Below are 22,606 nucleotides of genomic sequence, written 5' to 3'. Positions count from 1 at the left end.
CGTCCTCACTCAATATTTTCTATATTTGAAGTCCTACTTTGAGCTTTCTTAGCCATGTGACTTTGGACAAGGTACTTCTCCAAATCTCAGTTTACTCACCTACCTCTTGTGAGGATTAAATGAGATAATCCATTAAAACCCAGAGGGTGGAACATCTTTAATGCCTGTAAATTCAACCTGCCATCTTTCCTCTCACCTGGCCCTGCTCTGAAGATAGATAGTGGATTCTTTTGGGACAGGGTCTCACTCTGTCACCCAGGCTGGGGTGCAGTGGCTCACTGCAGCCTCCACCTCCTGGGCTCAAGCGATCCTCCCACCTCAGCCTCCCGAGTGCTCGGACTACCAGCGTGCACCAGGTGGTGGATTCTTAAGTCTTCTTTATCCAGTAGTATTACTGGCTCTTCCTGAGCCCAGAGAGCTGCCCATGAATAGCACTGGGAGCATTGAGGCTCGCTGAGAGTCACTTTTATTGGGAACCATAGTTTTAGAAACACAAAAATAATTCTTTCACGGGATTGGTTCCAGGAGCCCAGAATATGAGTGGCCCCCTACTCTCCAAACTGATCAATGACCTTCTGTATCCACTTCTTCAGGCGGAACACATGTGTGTAGAAGCCATATTTCCCATCCCGGTCACAGCCTTCACCCCATGAGACGATGCCCATTTGATACCAGCGGTTGTTAAAGGGGCTCTGAAGAAGAAAGATGAGGTTTCCAATAGAGTCAAGTTCAAGGTCACATCAGTATTCCCCTGCCAGGCAACTGTTTCTAGATACTAGAGTTTCTCCCCACCCCCAGAAGATGTGTTCACCAGGCCCTGGGCTTTAGAGAAGCTTACCTTCATGACAAAGGGTCCCCCACTGTCACCTTCACAGGCATCCCCTCGTTTCCCTTCATCAGGCTTGTAACCTTGAAAGAGAACAGCCGTCTGTGCTCAGGAGCATAGCTCATAGCCCAGCCACGCCCCTTCACGAGACACAGCTGGTGAGAGTCCACTTACCCCTCCAGTCATTCTTGCTGTCCCCACTTCCTCACCCTACCCATCCAATCCTAGCAAATCTTGTCGGCTCTACCTTCAGCATAGACCCCAAATCCAAACCCTTCTCACCACTTCTAGCTCGAGCTCCTGAACCCACTAGTTTCCTTCATTCTTTGCCCACCTACAGTCTATTCTCCACCCAACAGGCAGAATAATGCTTTTAAAAAGTTGGACCAGACCAGGGGAGGTGGCTCATGCCCAAGCCGGGTGGATCACTTGAGCTCAGCAGTTCAAGACCAGCCTGGGCAATATGGCAAAACCCTCTCTCTACAAAAAATTAGCTGGGCATGGTGGCACATGCCTGGAGTCCCAGCTACTCGGGAGGCTAAGAGAGGAGGATCACTTGCGCCTGGGAGGTTAAGGCTGCAGTGAGCCGTGATCATGTCACCACACTCCAGCCTGGGCAACAGAGTGAGACCCTGTCTCGAAAAAATTAATTAATGATAAAAGACCAAGAAAAAAATTTAAATTAAAAATTAAAAAATTAAAAAGTTAGACCTACAAGTCTGATGAGGATAATAATGATAGTTGCTTTTATCCAAATCTCCCCACGTATCCTCTACAAACAATACAGAACAACACTAACAACAGTAAAACCTACACAAAAAAACCACACCTTCACTAGGTGCTGTGGCTCACACCTGTAATCTCAGCACTTTGGGAGGCCAAGGCGGGCGGATCATGAAGTCAGGAGTTTAAGACCAGCCTGGCCAACGTGGTGAAACCCTGTCTCTACTAAAAATACAAAAATTAGCCAGACATGTTGGTGTGCGCCTATAATCCCAGCTACTCAGGAGACTGAGGTAGAATTGCTTGAACCTGGGAGGTGGAGGTGGAGGTTGCAGTGAGCCGGGATTGCACCACTGCACTACCGCCTGAGCGACAGAACAAGACTCTGTCTCGAAAAAAAAAAATTAGCCGGACATGGTGGCATGTACCTCTGATCCTAGCTACGTGGGAGGCTGAAGCAAGAAGAGGATTGCTTGAGCCCAGGAGTTCAAGGCTGCAGTGAGCTATGACTGTGCCACTGCACTCCAGCCTGGGCAACAGAGCAAGACCCTATCTGAAAAAAAAAAAAGCTAGCAAGAGAACAGCAAAGTAAACCAGACAAAAACGTAAGCAAACTTTTTAAGAGAAAAAAGCAGAAATTAATGAACCACAATAGAAAAATAATAGGCCTGGCCGGGCGCAGTGGCTCACGCCCGTAATACCAGCACTTTGGGAGGCTGAGGCAGGCGGATCACAAGGTCAGGAGATCGAGACCATCCTGGCGAACGCGGTGAAACCCTGTCTCTACTAAATACAAAAAATTAGCTGGGCGTGGCAGTGTACACCTGTAGTCCCAGCTACTCGGGAGGCTGAGGCAGGAGGATGGCGTGAACCCGGGAGGTGGAGCTTTCAGTGAGCCGAGATCGCACCACTGCACTCCAGCCTGGGTGACAGAGCAAGACTCTGTCTCAAAAAAAAAAAAAAAAAGGCCAGGCACGGTGGCTCACACCTGTAATCCCAGCACTTTGGGAGGCTGAGGCAGTCGGATCATGAGGTCAGGAGTTCGAGACCAGCCTGGCTAACATGGTGAAACCCCGTCTCTACTAAAAATATAAAAAAATTAGCCGGGCATGGTGGCGTGCACCTGTAACCCCAGCTACTGGGGAGGCTGAGGCAGGAGAATCACTTGAACCCAGGAGGTGGAGGTTGCAGTGAGCTGAGATCACGCCACTGCACTCCAGCCTGGGCGACAGAGTGAGACTCCATCTCAAAAAAAAGAAAAATAATAGGCCTAATAATTTCATAAATCAAATCCCTAGATATTTGTTTTGAGAAAACCGGCAAGCCATTAACTAATTTACTCAAGAAAAATAAGATATTACAAATACATAAAATAAGATACCAATAGAAAAAATTATAAGAGAATACATTGCAGCAGTCAAGAAAGATACAATAATAGACTTGAGCAAATAGGAAAACGTTTCTTATCCTTGGATAAAATGACTCAACATCAAAAATATGTCCATTCTCCCAGTTAATTTGTTGAAGTGTCATAATCCCAATAAAATTACCACCAAGCTTTTTTATAGACCTAGGCATGTTGACACTAAAGTTCATATGGAAAAACAAACATGCAAGAATTGCCAGGAAACCACTGGAAAGAAAAACTAAAAGAGAACATTAGCCTTCCCAGCTATGTACGCTAAAGCCTCTATCATTAAAACAATGTGACGCTGTACACAGACAGACAACAGACCAGGAAAGCCGAGTCGAACATCCAGAAACATACTCATCCTTAAGCATACTCTATCCATAGAAATCTAGAACGTGGGGCTGGGCACCGTGGCTCATGCTGGTAATCCCAACACTTTGGGAGGCCAAGGCAGGAGGATCACTTGAGCCCAGGAGTTCGAGACCAGCCTAGGTAACATAGCAAGACCCCGTCTCTACAAATCAAATCAAATTAGCTGGATGCAGGAAAAAATAAAACTAAAAAATAAAACCTAGGTCAGGTATGGTGGCTCACGTCTGTAATCCCAGCAGTTTGGGAGGCCAAGGCGGGAGACTTGCTCGAGCCCAGCCAGGAGTTTGAAATCAGCCTGGGCAGCACAGGGAGACTTGTCTATATTTCAAATAAATAAATGAAAATAAGATACAATCTAGAATGTGATAAAGGTGAAATCTCAAATCACTAGTTCAAAGATTGATTGATTGATTGATTGATTTTGAGATAGAGTCTCGCTCTGTTGCCAGGCTGGAGTGCAGTGGCACCATCTCGGCTCACTGCAACCTCCTCCTCCCAGGTTCAAGTGATTCCCCTGCCTCAGCCTCCCAAGTAGCTGGGATTACAGGCGCACACCACCATGCCAGGCTAATTTTTTGTATTTTAGTAGAGATGGGGTTTCACCATGTCGGCCAGGCTTGTCTCAAACTCCTGACCTTGTGATCCACCCACCTCGGCCTCCCAAAGTGCTGGGATTACAGGTGTGAGCCACCGCACCTGGCGAAACGGAGTTTTTACTCTTGTTGCCCAGGCTGGAGTGCAATGGAGGGATCTCAGCTCACTGCAACCTCCGTCTCCCAGGTTCAAGCGATTCTCCTGCCTCAGCCTCCCGAGTAGCTGGGATTACAGACATGTGCCTCCATGTCTGGCTAATTTTGTATTTTTAGCAGAGACAGGGTTTTTCCATGTTGGTCAGGCTGGTCTTGAACTCCTGACCTCAGGTGATCCGCTCGCCTCGGCCTCCCAAAGTGCTAGGATTACAGGCGTGAGCCACCGCGCCCAGCCGATTTTTTTTTTTTAATAGAAACAGGGTCTCACTCTGTTGCCCAGGCTGGAGTGCAATGGTGCGGTCATAGCTCACTGCAGTATTGAACTCCTAGGCTCAAGCAATCCTCCTAACTCAGCCTCTCAAGTAGCTGAGACTACAAGGCACATGCCACCATGCCCAGCTAATTTTTAAAATATTTTCTTTTTCCTTTTTTTTTTGAGATGGAGTCTTGCTCTGTCGCCAGGCTGGAGTTCAATGGCGTGATCTCAGCTCACTGCAACCTCCACCTCCTGGGTTCAAATGATTCCCCTGCCTCAGCCTCCTGAGTAGCTGGTACTACAGGCATGCGCCACCACACCCAGCTAATTTTTTGTATTTTAGTAGAGACGAGGGTTTCACCATGTTGGCCAGGATGGTCTCTATCTCCTGACCTCATGATCCACCTGCCTCAGCCTCCCAAAGTGCTGGGATTATAGGCGTGAGCCACCACACCTGACCAATATTTTCTTGTAGAGACAGGGTCTTGCTATGTTGTCTGGGCTGGTTTTGAATTCCTGGCCTCAAGCAATCCTGCCTCAGCCTTCCAAACTGCTGGGATTACAGGTGTGAGCTACCGCACTTGGCCAATAATTTTTAATAAAGGGTTTAGAGACAGCTAGTTAGCCATTTGGAAAATAATAAATTAGATCTATGCCTCACATCAGATACAAAAATAAACTCCATATGAGTCAGGAATCTAAGTGCAGAAAAATGAAATCAGGTACTAGAAGAAAACATGAGTGAATTCCTCAATGACCTAGCTATCAGGAAAGGCTTTTCTGTTGTTGTTTTTTGTCGTTTTGTTTTTGAGACAGAGTCTTGCTCTGTCACCCAGGCTGGAGTGCAGCGGCACGATCTCTGCTCACTGCAACCTCCGCCTCCCAGGTTCAAGCAATTCTCCAGCCTCAGTCTCCTGAGTAGCTGGGACTACAGGCATCAGCCACCACGCCCAGCTAATTTTTGTATTTTTAGTAGAGACAGGGTTTCACCATGTTGGCCAGGCTGGTCTTGAACTTCTGACCTCAGGTGATCCCCCACCTCAGCCTCTCAGAGTGCTGGGATTACAGGTGTAAGACACCACACCTGGCCAGGAAAAGTTTATCTCTGATTCAAAATCCAGATTTAATAAAATAAATGATTGATAAATTTGACTACCTAGTAATTTTTTAAACTGCATGGCCAGAAAAATTATACATGAGGTTAAAAAAACTGACAAACTAGGAGAAAACATTTGCAATGTATATCACAAATAAAGGCCTAATATAAATACGAAGAACTCACAAAAATTGATAAGAAAGGGACCAAAAAATGGGCAAAAAACCATGAAGAGACAATTCACAAAAAAATTATATAATACAAATACTAGCCAGGCACGCACCTGTGGAACCAGCTACTCGGGAGGCTGAGGCAGGAGAATCACTTGAACCAGGGAAGTGGAGGCTGCAGTGAGCCAAGATTGCACCATTGCACTCCAGCCTGGGTGACAAAGCAAGACTCTGTCTCAAAAAAAAAATTATATAAAAATGGTCCTTAGGCCAGGCGTGGTGGCTCATGCCTGTAATCTCAGCACTTTGGGAGGCCGAGGCGGGAGGATCACAAGGTAAGGAGTTCGAGACCAGCCTGGCCAATCTGGTAAAACCCTGTCTCTACTAAAAATACAAAAATTAGCGGGCATGGTGACTCGCGCCTGGAGTCCCAGCTGCTTGGGAGGCTGAAGCAGGAGAATCGCTTGAACCCAGAAGGCGGAAGTTGCAGTGAGCCAAAATCGTGCCATTGCACTCCAGCCTAGGTGACAGAGGGAGACTCCATCTCAAAAAAAAAAAAAAAAAAAAAAAAGGTCCTTAATCATATGATACGATGTTCAACCTCATTTTCAATTTGAAAGATGTCCGTTAAAACAATTTCAAGATACTATTTCTCACCTCTCAGATTGGTAAAAATTTAAAACTGTGACATTCTTTTGGCAAGGTTGTGGGGAAACAGGCATTCTCATACACTGTGATGGAAATGCAAACTGGTACAACCCTTATGGAAAGAAATTTAAAAATCTCTAAAAAATGACATACATGTTTGCCTTTTGACCTAACAACACCACTTCTAAAAATTTACTAGGAGAGGCCAGGCATGGTGGCTCACACCTGTAATCCTAGCACTTTGGGAGGCTGAGTTGGATGGATCACTTGAGCTCAGAGTTCAAGACCTGTCTGGGCAACACAGTGAGACCCAGTCTCTACAAAAAATACAAAAATTAGCTGGGCATGGTGGTGTGTGCCTGTAGCCCTGGCTACTCGGGAGGCTAAAGTGGGAGGCTGGCTTGAGTCCAGGAGGCAGAGGTTGCAGTGGGCTGAGCCCAGCCATAGGATTGGTTTTAATAGTGTTATGGATGGAGGATTTTGAAACTATATTCTAGTATTGTTCAAATAGGCAAATGCATTACAGATAATGAGGGTCAGGTTTCTCACTGTCAACAGAGAGAGTTACAAATATGGAAAAGGAAAAGCTAAAATTAATCCTGTGGTGTTAGAATGGAATTGGAGGTTTCAGTAGGAACTCATGGTTTTTTATATAGATGATAGAGATATTGGTATATGCATCATATAATTTTTTTCTGGTTCTGTCCACTAAGAGAGCCTAGAAGTAATGACATCCCACTAGCAATGTGCACACGCCAGCACCCAGATCTCAGTTCTAAATTCCACTCTTGACTACAAGGGTTCCCTGGAGAAATGGCTGGTTCCAACACTACAGTAAGGAAAGTAGGATTAACCTGAATCATTTTGCTGTGCCAGAAAGAAAGAAAGTACTCAAAGAATGACAGAACATCTCCCCAAGTCACAGAAGCCAGCTTGAAGGGACTTCCACAGGCCAAACTTGGGATCATCTGAGCATCAGAAAAAATAACAGTAGTAACAAAGTATGGCCTGGCACGGTAGAGCTCACGCCTATAATCCCAGAACCTTGGAAGGCTGAGGCGGGCGGATCACCTGAGGTCAGGAGTTCGAGACCAGCCTGGCCAACATGGTGAAACCCTGTCTCTACTAAAAATACAAAAAATTAGCCAGGCGTGGTGGCACATGCCTGTAATCCCAGCTACTCAGGAGGCTGAGGCAGGAGAATTGCTTGAACCTGGGAGGAGGACGTTGCAGTGAGCCGAGATCACGCCATTGCACTCCATCCAGCCTGGGCAACATGGGCGAAACTCCATCTCAAAAAAAAAGAAAAAAAAAGGTGAACCCTTAGAATAAAGTAAGGATCCTTAAGTCCACACTGATAGAATGAAAGGAAGGAAAGCAATAAAGTAACTAACAAATGTAGAAGGAATGACAGAATTAGATAAGTGCCATTTGGTAGTCACCCTAGTTGGGAGAAGGTTTTGATGCAAACAGAATACAAAATATCAAAGTAGGCCAGGCGTATTGGCTCACACCTGTAATCCCAGCACTTTGGGAGGCTGAGGCAGACGGATCACAAGGTCAGGAGTTCGAGACCATCCTGGCCAACATGGTGAAACCCCATCTCTACTAAAAATACAAAAATTAGCTGGGTGTGGTGGCACATGCCTGTAATCCCTGCTACTTGGGAGGCTGAGGCAGGAGAATCACTTGAACCTGGGGGATGGAGGTTGCAGTGAGCCGAGATCGCACCACACACTCCAGCCCGGGTGATAGAGGGAGACTCCATCACAAAAAAAAAAAAAAAAAAAAAACATCAAAGTGTCTCTTTACCAGATTCTTATTAATTACAAAGGGAAAAACAGAAGTTACAGCAAGAAACTTGGCAGACATTGCCTTCCTCAAGAGGTCAGAGTTAGACTCACCACATATGAGACAAATTGTTCTCATGTGCCAGTTAACAGGATGCACCAAGAAGGACATGGCACCACTGAGCCCGAACCTGACCGTGAGGAAACCTTAGACAAACCCGGATTCAGGGCCAGTGTACAAAATAACCAGACTGCACTCATCAGACATGTCAAGGTCATAGAAGACAAAGAAAGATCCTTCATTGAATCCTGGGTGAGAAACACGCTTTTTTTTTTTTTTTTCCCTATAAAAGACATTAGCAAGACTAACAAAAATTTGAATAAGGTCTATAGATTAGACAATAATATTGTATCATCATTAATTTCCTGGTTTTGGGCCAGGTGCTGTGGCTCACGCCTGTAATCCCAGCACTTTGGGAAGCCGAGGTGGGTGGATTACCCGAGGTCAGGAGTTCAAGACCAGCCTGGCCAACATGGTGAAACCCCATCACTACTAAAAATACTAAAAATACAAAAAGTTAGCCGGGCGTGGTGGCAGGCACCTGTAATTCCAAGTAAGCCGAGACCATGCCACTGCACTCTAGCCTGGGCAACAGAGCAAGATTCCATCTCAAAAAAAAAAAAAAATTTCCTGGTTTTGGCCGAGTACAGTGGTTCACGCCTGTAATCCCAGCACTTTGGGAGGCCGAGGCAGGTGGATCACCTGAGGTCAGGAGTTCAAGACCAGCCTGGCCAACATGGTGAAACCCTGTCTCTACTACAAATACAAAAATTAGCTAGGCATGGTAGTACATGCCTGTGATTCCAGCTACTCAGGAGGCTGAGGCAGGAGAATCACTTGAACCTGGGAGCAGGAGGTTGCAGTGAGCCGAGATTGTGCCACTGCACTCAAGCCTGGGTGACAGCGAAGCTATGTCAAAAAAAAATTTCCGGGTTTTAATATTTGTATTGTGGTTGCATAAGAGAACATCCTTGGGTATTTTTTTTTTTTTTGGAAATACTCAAGTATTTATGGGTAAAAAGAAACCATATTCATGATTTGCTCTCAAACTATGCATATATATATATAAAAATTCCCACACATCCACAGAATGGAGGACAATCTGGATGACAGTATACAGGAAATCTTTGTATTATTTTTACAACTTTTCTGTGAGTCTGAAATTACACTAAATTTTTTTATTTTTTACTTTTAAAGTCAGTCACATCATTTCTTAACCTGCCTCAAGCCCCTCAATAACTTCCCATCTCACTCAATAAAGTCCTTCCAGGCCCTAAAGGAAGTGGCTGTCCTCTGCCTGCCCCCCTCTCTCCCCTCACCCACTGCTGCCCCTCCTCAGCCCCCCAGGCCTCCCTACTGCTCCCCAGACAAGCCAAGAGTGCTCCCACCTCAGGGCCTTAGTGCCTGCCATGCCCCCAGCCTGCGGTGCTCCTCCCCTAGATATGCCTGCTCACTCCTTCCTTCCCCTCTTCCAGTCCCTGCCCAGACATCACCTTCTCAGGGAGGCCTTCTCCAACCTTCTCTGGCCACCTGATTGATTGATTGATCGATCGATCAATGGAGTCTTGCTGTGTTGCCCAGCTGGAGTGCAATGATGCCCGATCTCAGCTCACTGCAACCTCCGCCTCCCTGGCTCAAGCAATTCTCCTGCCTCAGCCTCCTGAGTAGCTGCGACTACAGGCATGCGTCACCATGACCAGCTAATTTTTGTATTTTTAGTAGAGACGGGGTTTCACCATGTTGGCCAGGCTGGTCTTGAACTCCTGACCTCAAGTGATCTGCCCACCTTGTCTGGCCACCCTATTTAGAAGCCCACTTCATCAGCCGTTCTCTCTCCCTGTGCTTCATTTTTCTTCACAGCACTGGTCAGGGATTGCTGTTTTAGATCTGTTTATGGATGTGCCCTCCTAGGAAGGAAGCTCTCTGAGGGCACAGACATTGTCCGTCTGGGTCCCTGCTGTATACCCTAGAACGCTGCCTGGAACGTGATAGGCGCTCAATAAATATTTGCTGAGTGACTGAATGAATGGCATTTCCCTACCCGCAGCCTCTTGCTGCTATCTGAGCTCACTGGTGACTGATACTATGCCAAGTACATTAATATATACTACTTCATTTAACCCTCCCATAACCTTATGGGATAGAGACTTTTACCTCCATTTTACAGAGGAAGAAACTGAGCCACCAAGAGGTTAGGCAACTTGCTCAAAGTCACATGGCTTGAACCCAGGCACAACTCAGTTCTCCCAGCTTGGGCCCCACTGTTCCCTCAGCCCGCCCTGCACAGACTTGCCAGCACAGAACATGTTGTCAGTGATGCGGATCCGGGTGGAGTCCTTGCAGACCGGCCGCTCCACAATGGGCAGGTTCACCACCTGCAGGACACTGGGCTGCCCCTTACCAACGTTGGCTGTCCACGTCTCCTTCAGGTTGCCCCAGCCTGTCACCCGCCCCTTGTATCCAGCCTGGAGCAAGCTTTGGGGAAGGAAGAAGGGCCTAGTGAGAGCCAACCCCCACAGGAGCCGCCTGGCCCCAACGCCATTTCTTAGAGACCAGAATCTAAAACGCCAGAGCTGGCTGGGCACAGACGTTCACGCCTGTGGTCTCGGCACTTTGGGAGGCCGAGGCGGGTGAATCACTTGAGGTCAGGGGTTCGAGACCAACCTGGCCGACACGGTGAAACCCACCAGTCTCTACTAAAAATACAAAAATTAGCCTGTAATCCCAGCTACTCAGGAGACTGAGGCAGGAGAGTCGCTTGAACCCAGGAGGTGGGGTTGCAGTGAGCCAAGATCGCACAACTACACTCCAGCCTGGGAGACAAGAGTGGAACTCCGTCAGTAAATAAATAAATATAAATAAAAAATAAAACGCCAGTACTGAAAAGAACTTTTGGGTTCACTCCAAGAAACCGAGGCCTGGAAAAGGGAAAGGGGCTCTTGCAAGGCTACTTGGTATCAGAGCCAGGCCCAGAACTTGGCTTCTGCCCCTCAGCTAACAAGCATCTGGTGGCCCACCTGGCTGCCGTCTCCCTGTCGGGCAGACACACAGGGTGAATGTAGTCACTGAAGGCAACAGGCTTCTTCAGCTTCATCAGGGCAATGTCCCGGTCCAGGTTCTCCCGCCAGTTGTACCTGGGGTGGATGTAGATCTTTTCCAACATGGATATCTTTTCAATGTTTCGCTCGTACCTGCAGAGACCCCAAGAAAGAAATGGAGAAGCTGCAGGTTCACCCAGCAAGGAGCAGGAAACTGCCTGCCCTTGGGGTCTGGGAGACAGTGTGTCCTGCAGGCCACCAGGGAGGGGATAGGGCTGGTTCCTGCCATGGCAGCCCCCTGGGTGTTTCTTCCTGGGCCTAAAGCCGTGCAGGGCTTTGGAGTCAGACAGCCTGGAGGACGGGGACAGGGGCACAGGCTGCACGCCCTAGTCCAGACAGACTCTATTTTCAGAGACTCCCACATGGGCTATATCCTAGTGTTGGAGGGACCAGGAGACAGACGGATTTCTCCCCGCAGCTCCAAGCCTCAGTCAGGACGTGACCAAATGGGCTTTCCAGCAGAGACTGCTGGGATGTTATATTCTGGGGGGTATACAGAACATCCTATGTGTCCCGGAGCCACCAGGGCCCCTCATGATCGCTTTGGAGGACTCAGACCCCTGCCAGACACCCACGGGCCACCAGTTCTGTACCTGGTGCGGGAGTGCTTGCCAATGCGCACCAGAAGGTCATTCTCGGTGAAGTTCTTGTCCCAGGGCGGGTACAGGAGGCAGTGGGCGGCGGTGAGGACCCAGCGGTCACTGATGAGGCTGGCCCCACACAGCAGCTCCTGGGGACTCTTCCGGAAAAGCATCACCTGCCTGGGAGGGGCAGCAGGAAGCATTAGGAGCTGAGGATGAGGGGGCTGCCTCTACACCAGCCCTAGAAGTAACAATCCCAGGTCTAAGAACCCAGCTGGGCAGAGCTGCCTCCGGGGCCCAGATCCAAGCTTGGGCTGGCCGCCTTTGGGGCCTGGAGCCTCCGTGTGATGCTGAGGGGCTGCCTCACACTTTTTTATTTATTTATTTATTTATTTTTGAGACAGGGTCTCACTCTTGTCACCCAGGCTGGAGTGCAATGGTACAGTCACAGCTTACTGAAGCCTCAGCCTCCTGGGCTCAGGCGATCCTCCCGCCTCAGCCTCCTTAGTAGCTGGGACTACAGGGACATGCTGCTACACCTGGCTAATTTTTGCATTTTTAGTAGAGACGGGGTTTTACCATTTTGCCCAGGCTGGCCTCGAACTCCTGCCCTCAAGTGATCTTCCTGTCTTGGCCTCCCAAAGTGCTGGGATTACAGGGGTGAGCCACTGCACCTGACCTGCCTCCTGCTTTTTGCACCCCCTAACTAGGTCCTTCCAGTCCAGAGTTCACATAGCGTAGCACAGCTCTGGAATCAGAAGAACTGGATTCAAACCCATTAGCTGTGCGCGGAGGTGAGCCACCAGCTCCGTCAGTCTCAGCTTTACCATCTGCTTAGAAGTAAAGGACCCATGGGCCGGGTGTGGTGGCTCATGCCTGTAATCCCGGCACTTTGGGAGGCTGAGGCAGGTGGATCACTTGAGGTCAGGAGTTCAAGACCAGCCTGGCCAACATGGTGAAACCCTGTCTCTACTTAAAATACAAAAATTAGCCGGGTGTGGTGGCGCATGTCTGTAAATTCAGCTACTCAGGAGGCTGAGGCAAGAGAATCGTTTGAACCCGGAAGGCAGAAGTTGCAGTGAGCTGAGATCGAGGTAGTGAGCCGAGATTGCAGCACTGCACTCCAGCCTAGGTGACAGAGCAAGACTCCATCTAAGAAACAAAAAAAAAGAAGTAAACAACCCATCTCATGTGGCTGCTGTGTGGAGTTGGTGGGATCCTGGATGCTCAGCTGTTGTCATCTGTAAAGCCCAGGCCTGCAGGCAGGGCCTGAGGGTGGGGGTCCAGCAGCACACCTGCCCCCAGGAGTGAATGGTAGCGCAGGGCTCCAGGACACACCAAGGTGACATGCCGATCTCTGCATCCGAGCCCTCCACAATGCGCCCGTCGATGTAGGATTCCAGGAGCTCTCTTTCGGTTTTGTCCTCCAGCGACTTCTTCTCGAACAGAGGTCGCAGCCCACAGTCTGCAGAGCAAGCCAAGCAGTGAGGGGCAAGTCCTGGCCACCAGCCCCGCAGCCCCGCATCCCCTCGGATGCCCACTACCTCACCTGCCTCTCCCGAGCCAAAGGTCCTCGGATTGAAGAAAGTCTGGTACTCACTGGTGGCGGTACGCCCTTCGATGGCCCTGTCTGAGTCCTCATCCAGCCCATCTCCTGTCTCCTCCTCCACGGCCTCCTCTGTTGGGACCCAGGCACCGGCTGGGACTGGGCTGGGCCATTCCTCACCCATCCCCTAGATCCCCCCAATTCCCCTACGGGCCTTGGAGGCCATTTGGTGCAGAGGTTAAGCGTGCATGCACAGTTGGGCTACTAGGCAATAACCTCCTGGGGCCTCAGTGTACTTATCTGTGAAATGGGCACAGGACCTTACCCCCCACCTGGTTACTGTAAGGCTGTAATGAGCGCACTCAATGAGGTAAGCGTTCGATAAGCAGAAGCGGCTGTTGTTATTCCCACCAGGATTTGTCCCTGCAACTCAGGCCCCCTACCCAGGCAGCTCACCACAATAGTTGAGGTCGCAGTACCCAAAGTCGCCAGGCTTCCCGGCCACATAGCACCACACGCCCTCCTCATCCCCGTCTGGGTTGCGGCAGAAGTTCTCCACCAGCTGCACAGCTGAGTTGAAGTCCTGGTGCTTGCTCAGGGCCTTGGCCTGTGCGCTGGCCCAGGCCAGGCAGGGGAGCCCATGTGTGGTCACCGCCAGGCGCCCCTGGTACTGCTGCCCCCGATCAGGGACACACTGCTCCAATGGAGGTGACAGATTCACACTGGAGCCTTCGGAGCGTGGAGTCATCGCTACAGTGACTTGATCCTGGCCTGGTGGGTGAGGGGCAAGGAGGCAGCAGAGTGAGTGAGACCACACATGGACCGGAACAGACAGGGGTGTGAACCCCGGTCTTGCTGCTTTCTGCCTGTGTGACCTCAGGTTACTTAACCTCTCTGGGCTTCTGACCGTTTGCCTTTAAAGGGGTTACTAATGCCACTTTTGCAGGTTTGTTGAGAGGATTAAACAAAATATACAGCATAAGTGTCTGGCACATAATAAACCAGAGATAGTAACCAGGTTTGGCCTCCTAGGCCATCTGTAATTAACTGGTAGTGGCTGCCTGGAGCTGCTGGAGGAGTCATGTTTTTATAGCTGCACAGCAGGACGCTTGCTGGGATCACTAGGCTGTTCACCTGGATGGGTCAATTTCTGCAAGCCTGCAACTTATTTATCATCAATGTGTGTGCGTGTGTATGGGGGTTGGGGAGTAAATAGTAGCTGTTTTTGTTGGGATAAACTTGCTATAAGACCAATTCCAGGGGCCAGGCGCAGTGGCTTACACCTGTAATCCCAGAACTTTGGGAGGCCGAGCTGGGCAGATCACCGGAGGTCAGGAGTTCAAGATCAGCCAGGCCAACATGAAGAAACCCCGTCTCTACTAAAAATACAAAAATTAGCCAGGCGTGGTGGCGTGTGCCTGTAATCCCAGCTATATGAGAGGCTGAGGCAGAGAATCGCCTGAACCCAGGAGGTGGAGGTTGCAGTGAGCCAAGATTATGCCACTGCACTCCAGCCTGGGTGACAGAGTGAGACTCCATCTCAAAAAAAAAAAAAAAAAAGGCCGGGCGCAGTGCCTCACCCCTGTAATCTCAGCAGTTTGGGAGGCCGAGGCGGGAGGATCACAAGGTCAGGAGTTTGAGATCAGCCTGGCCAACATGGTGAAACCCCGTCTCTACTAACATAAAAAAAAATTAGCCAGGAGTGGTGGCACACGCCTGTAATCCTAGCTACTCAGGAGGCTGAAGCAGGGGAATCGCTTGAACCCAGGAGGCGGAGGTTGCAGTGAGCTGAGATAGGGCCACTGCACTCCAACAGCCTGGGCAAGGGAGTGAGACTCCATCTTAGAAAGAAAAAAAAAAAAGACCAACCCCAGGAATGAGCAATGGGCCCGACAGGGATGCCTAGAGAACAAACACTAACCCATGTTTGTGGACTGGTAATCGGCACAAATTCTTTACCCCTGCCTGCATCCACATCCCTTGCTCTGTGATTTTACAGGCTGAGGTGTAGTTTACCTCTTGACCCTGGCCTTGAACATATACTTGCTCTGGCCAATGGAACGTGGGCAGGGCTGACTGTGCCTGTTCTGAGCCAGGCCTTCAGGACAGAAGACGCTTTTCTGTTCATTGTTTTCTGTGTCTGTCATCAGCATAAGAAGAGTTTTCCCAGGTACCTTCTTTCAGCCTCAGCCCCAGCATGAACGCACGTGGAGCAGATCTAGGCCCAACCCTCAACGAGGAGCCAGACTCAGCTGGACCCATTATTTGAATCAGAGCCACCCAGCCAGGGCCAACCTCCGTCAGTTGACCCTACAGACGCATTAGCGAGTGCAGCCACACCTGCCAACCCTCATGGGAAAAAGAAATGCTTATTGTGGTCTGCCTCAGGGAAGGGGTGGCTATAGCTACTTAACACACCAAGGAAATAATAATGACAGAATCCCGCAGGGCCAAACTGCACAAGGCTTGCTCTGTGATACTCAGAACAGGGTGTGTGGACTGAAATGGCTAGGGAGGGCTTCCCGGAGGGAGGAGTGCCTTGATCAGAAAGGAGGCATGTTTGGAATGAGCCACAGCCTGGACCATAAGGAAGTCAAGAGTGGGGAGGGGGAGGAGGAGGCTGGCAGATCCCCCCACTCAGATCCCCTGATTCCCTGACTTTACTGAGCAATAGGCACAGATATGATCTGAATGACTGACGCCAGCTCTGAAGGTGGCCAGCATCTTTTTTTTTTCTTTGAGACAGAGTTTTGCTCTTGTCGCCCAGGCTGAAGTACAGTGGCAGGATCTCAGCTCACTGCAAACTCCGCCTCCCGGGTTCAAGCGATTCTCGTGCCTCAGCCTCCAGAGTAGTTGGGATTACAGGCGCCCACCACCACGCCTGGCAATTTTTGTATTTTTAGTAGAGACGGGGTTTTGCCATGTTGGCCCAGCTGGTCTCAAACCCCTGACCTCAGGTGATCTGCCTGCCTCAGCCTCCCAAAGTGCTGGGATTACGGGCATGAGCCACTGTGCCTGGGTAGCCAGTATTCTTGGTTCCCATCCCAGGCTGCCAGGCCCCATGAAGCCCCCGGGCCTTGGCCATGGGCCGCCCCACTGCCCCCAGCTTACCACAGACAGGGATGCTGCATTCCTGCCTCCTCACGGTGGGGTCTGTAGTGTAGCACCAGGGTCCCGTGGTGCTGCTGTCGGGGTTGCGGCAGAAATTCTCCTGTAGGTCGGCCCCAGGATGGGTAGTGGAGTTGATTCTGGAACAGGAAATTGCCCAACAGGAGGCTGTTGGGCTTGAGGTACGCTTGCTCCCTGTTCTCAGCCCATGGTGGGAAGGCCGGCCCCTCACTCACTCAGGCTTATGTGGGTAGCGACTCCTCCATAGCTGGCACTCAATGCCTGACCGGGTGATGTTCACATGCCCTCGGTAGTTCGTACCCAGACCCTCAGCACAGTTACCTGCGGAGACCCCACCCCGGTCAGCCTTGGAGCCTGGGGACTTATTTCCTCTCTCCCTGCAAAGTTGTCTATCCCCCACCTCCCAGCTCATGCAGGTCCACAATCCTGAACCTGCATTCACCCAGCCCCTCTTCCTCTGCAACCAGCAGTTCTCCCATTCACTCAACAGTGGCCTCCAAATATTCGCTAAGTGCCTACCATATGACAGGCACTGTCGGGTGCTCAGTACACATCAACCAATAGGACAGTCACAGCCCTGCCCTCATGGAGCTTCCATTCTGTGGCTTCTCTTGGCCAGCAGGATGAAAAAGTGATGAAGGTCCTTTTCAACTGGCCCTGGTCTACCTGTCCCTGCTAGCTCAGCTTCTCATGCCTCTGGGTCTTTCCACGGATTGTTTCTTCTGACTGGAATGCCCACTTGTTTGTTCATCCATGCATCCCACCAGGCCAGGCAGAACTCTGCCTCTCCTGGGAAGCCATCTCTCATTTTTCTGGCAAACCAGACACTCATTTTCCTGTGGTCTCTTGGTGCCTTGAACAGAACTTTTCTTGCAATCACTTTATTGAATTATTTATTTTTATTTATGTATTTTGAGATGAGTCTTGTTCTGTTGCCGAGACTGAAGTGCAGTGGCATGATCTCAGCTCACTGCAACCTCTGCCTCCCAGATTCAAGAAATTCTCCCCCATCAGCCTCCCTAGTAGCTAGGATTACAGGCGCGTGCCACCACACCCCAGCTAATTTTTGTATTTTTAGTAGAGGTTGGGGGTTTCACTATGTTGGCCAGGATGGTCTCAAACCCCTGGCCTGGGCGCCCACCTCAGCTCCCAAAGTGCTAGGATTACAGGCTTGAGCCACCACACCCGGCCGCAATCATTTTAATATTTTGTATTTTTGTTCTCTTTTGAGATTTTGAATTCCTTGAAGGCAGAGACTGTATTTGATTCTCTTAAAATCCCCAGCACCTGATATAGTGCCTGGCACGTAGCAGGAACTTTGTAAAATGTCTGTTGAGTACGTAATTTAACAAATGAGGCTGGGCGCAGTGGATTACACCTGTAATCCCAGCACTCTGGGAGGCTGAGGCTGGTGGATCACCTGAGGTCAGGAGTTTGTGACCAGCCTGGCCAACATGGTGAAACCCCGTCTCTACTAAAAAATACAAAAAATTAGCTGGGCATGGTAGTGTGTGCCTGTAATCCCAGCTACTCAGGAGGCTAAGGCAGGAGAATCACTTGAATCCGCTAGGCGGAGGTTGCAGCGAGCCGAGATCGCGCTGCTGCACTCCAGCCTAGGCGACAGAGTGAGACTCCACCTCAAAAAAAAAAAAAAAAAAATGAAAGTATGGCAGCCAGGCATGGTGGCTCACACTTATAATCCTACTCCTTTGGGAGACTGAGATGGGAGAATTGCCTGAGCCCAGGAGTTCAAGATCAGCCTGGGCAAAAAAGGGAGACCCTGTCTCTTATAAATAAACAAAGAGTTCCATTTTTGTCGTGCTAAAGGTGCCTTCAGAACACAGTGCAGGAGGGAGGGTGCTCCCTGAAGTCTCAGCAAAAGTGGTGACATTTGAAGCAGTCCTTGAAGGATAGGAAAGTGTTCAGTAGATGTGATGGTCGCTCCAGAGGAAATTGACAACATATGCAAGGCCAGGTGCTAGAAACACCTTGGCATGCTTAGGGAAGTCCTTGGTGTCAGAGCAGCTGGGGGTTTGGGTTCCTGTTTGGTTCAGTGACACCTAAAGCTAGAAGGGGAATGTGACATCATCAAAGCTCTGACTAGGTGGGGGCAGAGACTCGGGTCAGGCAAAGGAGAATGAAGCCTTAAACATGAATTCATGGCCAGGCGCGGTGGCTCACTTCTATAATCCCAGCACTTTGAGGCCGAGGTGGGTGGATCACGAGGTCAGGAGTTCAAGACCAGCCTGGCCAACATGGTGAAACCCCGTCTCTACTAAAAATACAAAAATTAGCCAGGCGTGGTGGCGAGCACCTGTAATCCCAGCTACTTGGGAGGTTGAGGCAGAGAATTGCTTGAACCCGGGAGGCGGAGTTTACAGTGAGCCAAGATCGTGCCACTGCACTCCAGCCTGGGCAACAGAGCGAGACTCTGTCTCAAAAAAAAAAACATTAATTCATTAGTCCATTCATTCATTCATTCGTTCGCATGCCAGACACAGAGCCAGGTACAAAGAGACATCTTGACCCCAGGAATGGGAGCAATGTCAGATGCTGGGGACTGCCTCGGCCTCCACCAGCCACACTCCAAACCCACCCCTGAGCTCTTCTCCCAGGCTCCCCTCCATGTCCTGCTCCCCAAACCCGTGTCAGTTGCTCACCTTCCAGACATGCAGCAAGCTTATCTCGAGGCGTCCTCGCTGTCTCACAAGCTGGAAAAGACCCAGGTGTTTACCTTTGGGATTGGGGTATGGCCAGGATGAGCTGGAGTCAGGGTGGATGGGATGTTGGTGAGAAACAGAAAGATGGATGAACAGATGGGAGGGACCAAGGAAGGAGTGGGGAAGGGGTGGATGGGTGGATGGCTAGGTGCAGCAGAAGATTCTCTGGGTAGAATTCTCTCACTGGGGTCCCCAGGCCTCCCTTCCTGGGGCAAATCCTTCCCGGTGCTCACCTGTGTACTTGGCCCAGAACACATCCTGAAAAACAAGGGCTGGGAGTGAGGCTACGGCAGCTCCTGTTTTGTGTTGTTTTAGTAAATGTTATGTCTCCTCCTCACACTTTCCTTTACCCTGGTCACGCAGGGGGCAGGCTCTGGGGAGGTTTGTGGCAGAGTTTCCTACTTTTGTTTCCAAAAGGAGAAGAATATTTGAGGATAGGGGAGTTCCTCCAACACACACACCGAGACTGAAAGAGGCTGGGGGAGATGGGAGGAGAGGGGGCAGTGGGACCCTGGCAGAGCCCTACAGACAGGAAAGGCGACACAGAGCTCCAGGAACACTGAGTCTTGAGCCCGGGGGCTTGTGGTGGCCTCCCCAGAGTCCCACCCCTCAAGGGTGGTGTGGGAGTCTGCCGCTGAGGAGGCCATGTGGACACAGAGCTCCAGGGCAGGTGGATGTCTGAAGACTGTGGAGGCCTCCCCATGTCATGGAGCTGCACAGGGACACAGTCCAGGCACAGAGACCCCCAGGAAAGGCTGAGGCCGCTCCTCTTGCCAGCCCTGTGAGGAGGGGCTCAGAGTTGAAATGAGGCTGTGAGCAGCGAAGGGGCTGTGGCGTTCCTCGCTTGCTTCTCTGTGGAAGTGTCTAGAGTTGGGCCCGGTCTGAGGCCCCGGCACCGTCCGAGCAGCCCAGGCTCACCGTAGCCGTGGAGGACTCCAGAGCCTCGAAGGCCTCCTCGTAGCTGCACGTCTCCTCCACGCACTCTCGCTCCAGGTTGCCCTTGCGCACCTCCTCCAAGAAGGTGTTGGCTCGCCGGACCCGCTGGAGCAGCGACCGTGCTTGCTGAGGAGCCAGGAACACTGTAAGGCGGTGGGGGGGTCATGGGACAGCGGCCTCAGGAACAGGCAGTCTTGGCCATTCTGGGGGCATGAAGCAAGCCCACCCTCCCCTGCTGGCTTCTGAGAGAGGCTGTCTGGGCTGGTGGAAGTGCCTGGAAGGCTGCTAAATGTGGCCCCCTGTGCCCCTCCTACACTGCCCCTTGCCCCCAGCCTGCTCCCTATATTGGAAGAGAGAAGCAGCCATTCTCTTTCCAGCCCTGAGCTCCTGACTTCTTCCCTAAGCTGGCCGCCTGGGGCTGAGACCTACTTAGGGGCCAGCTCTGTGTGCTCTGTCCAGCCAGGAGACCCCAGCCCATGGGCCCACACCCCAGTCCTCCAGCCTGTTCCAGCCTGCAAGCACTCCCTTACCATGCTGGCTGTGCACAAGGCTACACAGGGCAGCCAGGGCCAGGCAGCCAGGCAGCTGCAAGCCTCGGACGTGCGCCATAGTGTGTCAGCTCCTGGGTCACTGAGGAATTGTCTGTCCTGACCCCTCTGGGTTAATGTTGAACTAACATGAAGAAATCAGCGGAGAGGGTGAGGTCAGAGGGTCAGGGCCGTGGGGACGGGTGGGTAGATAGTCCTCCTGTCCATCTCCACCATCTGGGAGGACAGGTCCTCCTGGGAGCAGGGATGGATGGTCTAGGAGGAGTCACAAAAAAGGTCACTGTCACCCCCATCTCCCACCCTCCCCCTCTGAGATTTAGCCCATTCTGGCCAGTGGGGCTATGAGACTTTCCTGGAGCTCCTTCGAATCCTAACATATAGCGGTGGTTGCTTGTCATCTCTGTGTGCCTCAGTTTCCTCATCTATACAATGGGAATAATACTTTGTTGTGAGGACTAAAGGAGATTAGGAATGGAATGTCCATGGAATATCGTAAGTTCTTAATCAGATCTGCACATATAGGCCAATGTGGGGGTTTGTATAATCATAATACACAGATATCAAAAATAGAGACAAAGATAAAAGGTGTGGCCTGATGGAAGTTGCCCCTCGCCATGGGATGCACCAGGGATAGGAACAGCCAACATTTGCCCCAGCTTCTCAGCCACTGGAGGAGGGGCCCATTTCTCCTCCTTCCTGTCCAGGGTGCCTGGAGGTGTGTTTGTGTGTGGCAGCTGCCTGGGAGGAGTCAGGTCCAGGGACTCTTGGGCCTTTAGTCTATCTTCTGTCACCTCCCAGGACCTGCGCCTGTCCCGGAACAGGGGCTACTGAAATCCCTGGGTCTCCACTGAGGGGCCCTCCTTCTCCCTGGCTGCCTGCCCCATGGCAGGCCTAGAGAGGCTTCTGGTCCTACCCTACCCTCCGCCCTACTCCTGTCCCTCCCCCATTTCCTGTTTGCAGTACCCAAGGCAAATATTAGTCTAAGTAGGACAGAGGGACAAAGAGCAGGAACACGGGGAGGCACAAGTTCTCGCCTCGCCTCACCTGTCCTTTGGGCCTGGCTGTTTGGGGTCTGGACCAGGTCATGTGTGGGAACAGGGAGTGTTGGCAGAAAAACTGGGGACCAGGACTCCCGCAAACACCTTAATTCCTGGGAGGCCCATTTCTTATATATTTTCATATATATATTTTTAGGCCAGGCATAGTGGCTCACACTTGTAATCCCAACACTTTGGGAGGCCGACATGGCAGGATCGCTTGAGGCCAGGAGTTTGAGACCAGCCTGGGCAACATAGCAAGACCCTCATCTCTACCAAAAAAAAATTAAAAATTAGCTGGGAATGGTGGTGCATGCCTGCAGTCTGAGCTACTGAGGAGGCTGAGGCAGGAGGATCACTTGAGCCCAGGAGTTCCAGGCTGCAGTGAGCTATGATTGCACCACTGTACTCCAGCCTGGGTAACAGAGTAAGATCCTGTTTCTTTCTTTCTTTCTTTCTTTCTTTTTTTTTTTTTTTTTTGAGACGGAGTCTCGCCCTGTCACCCAGGCTGGAGTGCAGTGGAACAATCTCGGCTCACTGCAATTTCCATCTCCCTGTTCAAGTGATTCTCCTGACTCAGTATCCCAAGTAGCTGGAATTACAGGCGTGTGCCACCACACCTGGCTAATTTTTGTATTTTTAGTAGAGATGGGGTTTCGCCACATTGACCAGGATGGTCTCGAACTCCTGACCTCAGGTGATCCGCCCACCTCCACCTCGGCCTCCCAAGTGCTGGGATTACAGGCGTGAGCCACCATGCCTGGCCTGAATGAGACCTGTTCCTAGAAAAATAAAATAAAATAAAATAAAATTGAATAAATAAAATAAAATTATAATATATATTTTGGGTTTTTGTTGTTTTGTTTTTGAGATGGAGGCTGGAGTGCAATAGCGTGAACTCGGCTCACT

The 22,606-nt window shown here is 50.6% G+C and overlaps 1 protein-coding gene across 1 annotated transcript; it reads right to left on the bottom strand.

The window, feature by feature from the left end:
• On the bottom strand, positions 451–20,744 carry F2 (coagulation factor II, thrombin). Its single transcript, NM_000506.5, has 14 exons — positions 20,643–20,744; positions 20,095–20,255; positions 19,410–19,434; positions 19,117–19,167; positions 16,672–16,777; positions 16,439–16,575; positions 13,784–14,098; positions 13,331–13,459; positions 13,120–13,246; positions 11,794–11,961; positions 11,120–11,293; positions 10,396–10,577; positions 839–909; positions 451–692 (listed from the first exon to the last, which is right to left on the bottom strand). The coding sequence occupies exons 1-14, from the start codon at positions 20,719–20,721 to the stop codon at positions 549–551; spliced, it is 1,869 nt and encodes a 622-aa protein (NP_000497.1). The 5' UTR covers positions 20,722–20,744; the 3' UTR covers positions 451–548.

Source organism: Homo sapiens, chromosome 11 (genome assembly GCF_000001405.40).
Source record: "Homo sapiens chromosome 11, GRCh38.p14 Primary Assembly".
NCBI lineage: Eukaryota > Metazoa > Chordata > Mammalia > Primates > Hominidae > Homo > Homo sapiens.
The sequence above is the reverse complement of the archived record's forward strand: the minus strand, read 5'-3'. Positions and strand labels throughout refer to the sequence as shown.

Coding starts and splice junctions, on each gene's coding strand:
- F2 (NM_000506.5), bottom strand. CDS start 20,721: ATGGCGCACGTCCGAGGCTTGCAGCTGCCTGGCTGCCTGGCCCTGGCT. Junction 11,962..13,119: donor GAGATCGGCATGTCACCTTG/GTGTGTCCTGGA, acceptor TGCCCCTCCCAG/GCAGGTGATGCTTTTCCGGA. Junction 910..10,395: donor TGACAACATGTTCTGTGCTG/GCAAGTCTGTGC, acceptor TTCTCTTTCAAG/GTTACAAGCCTGATGAAGGG.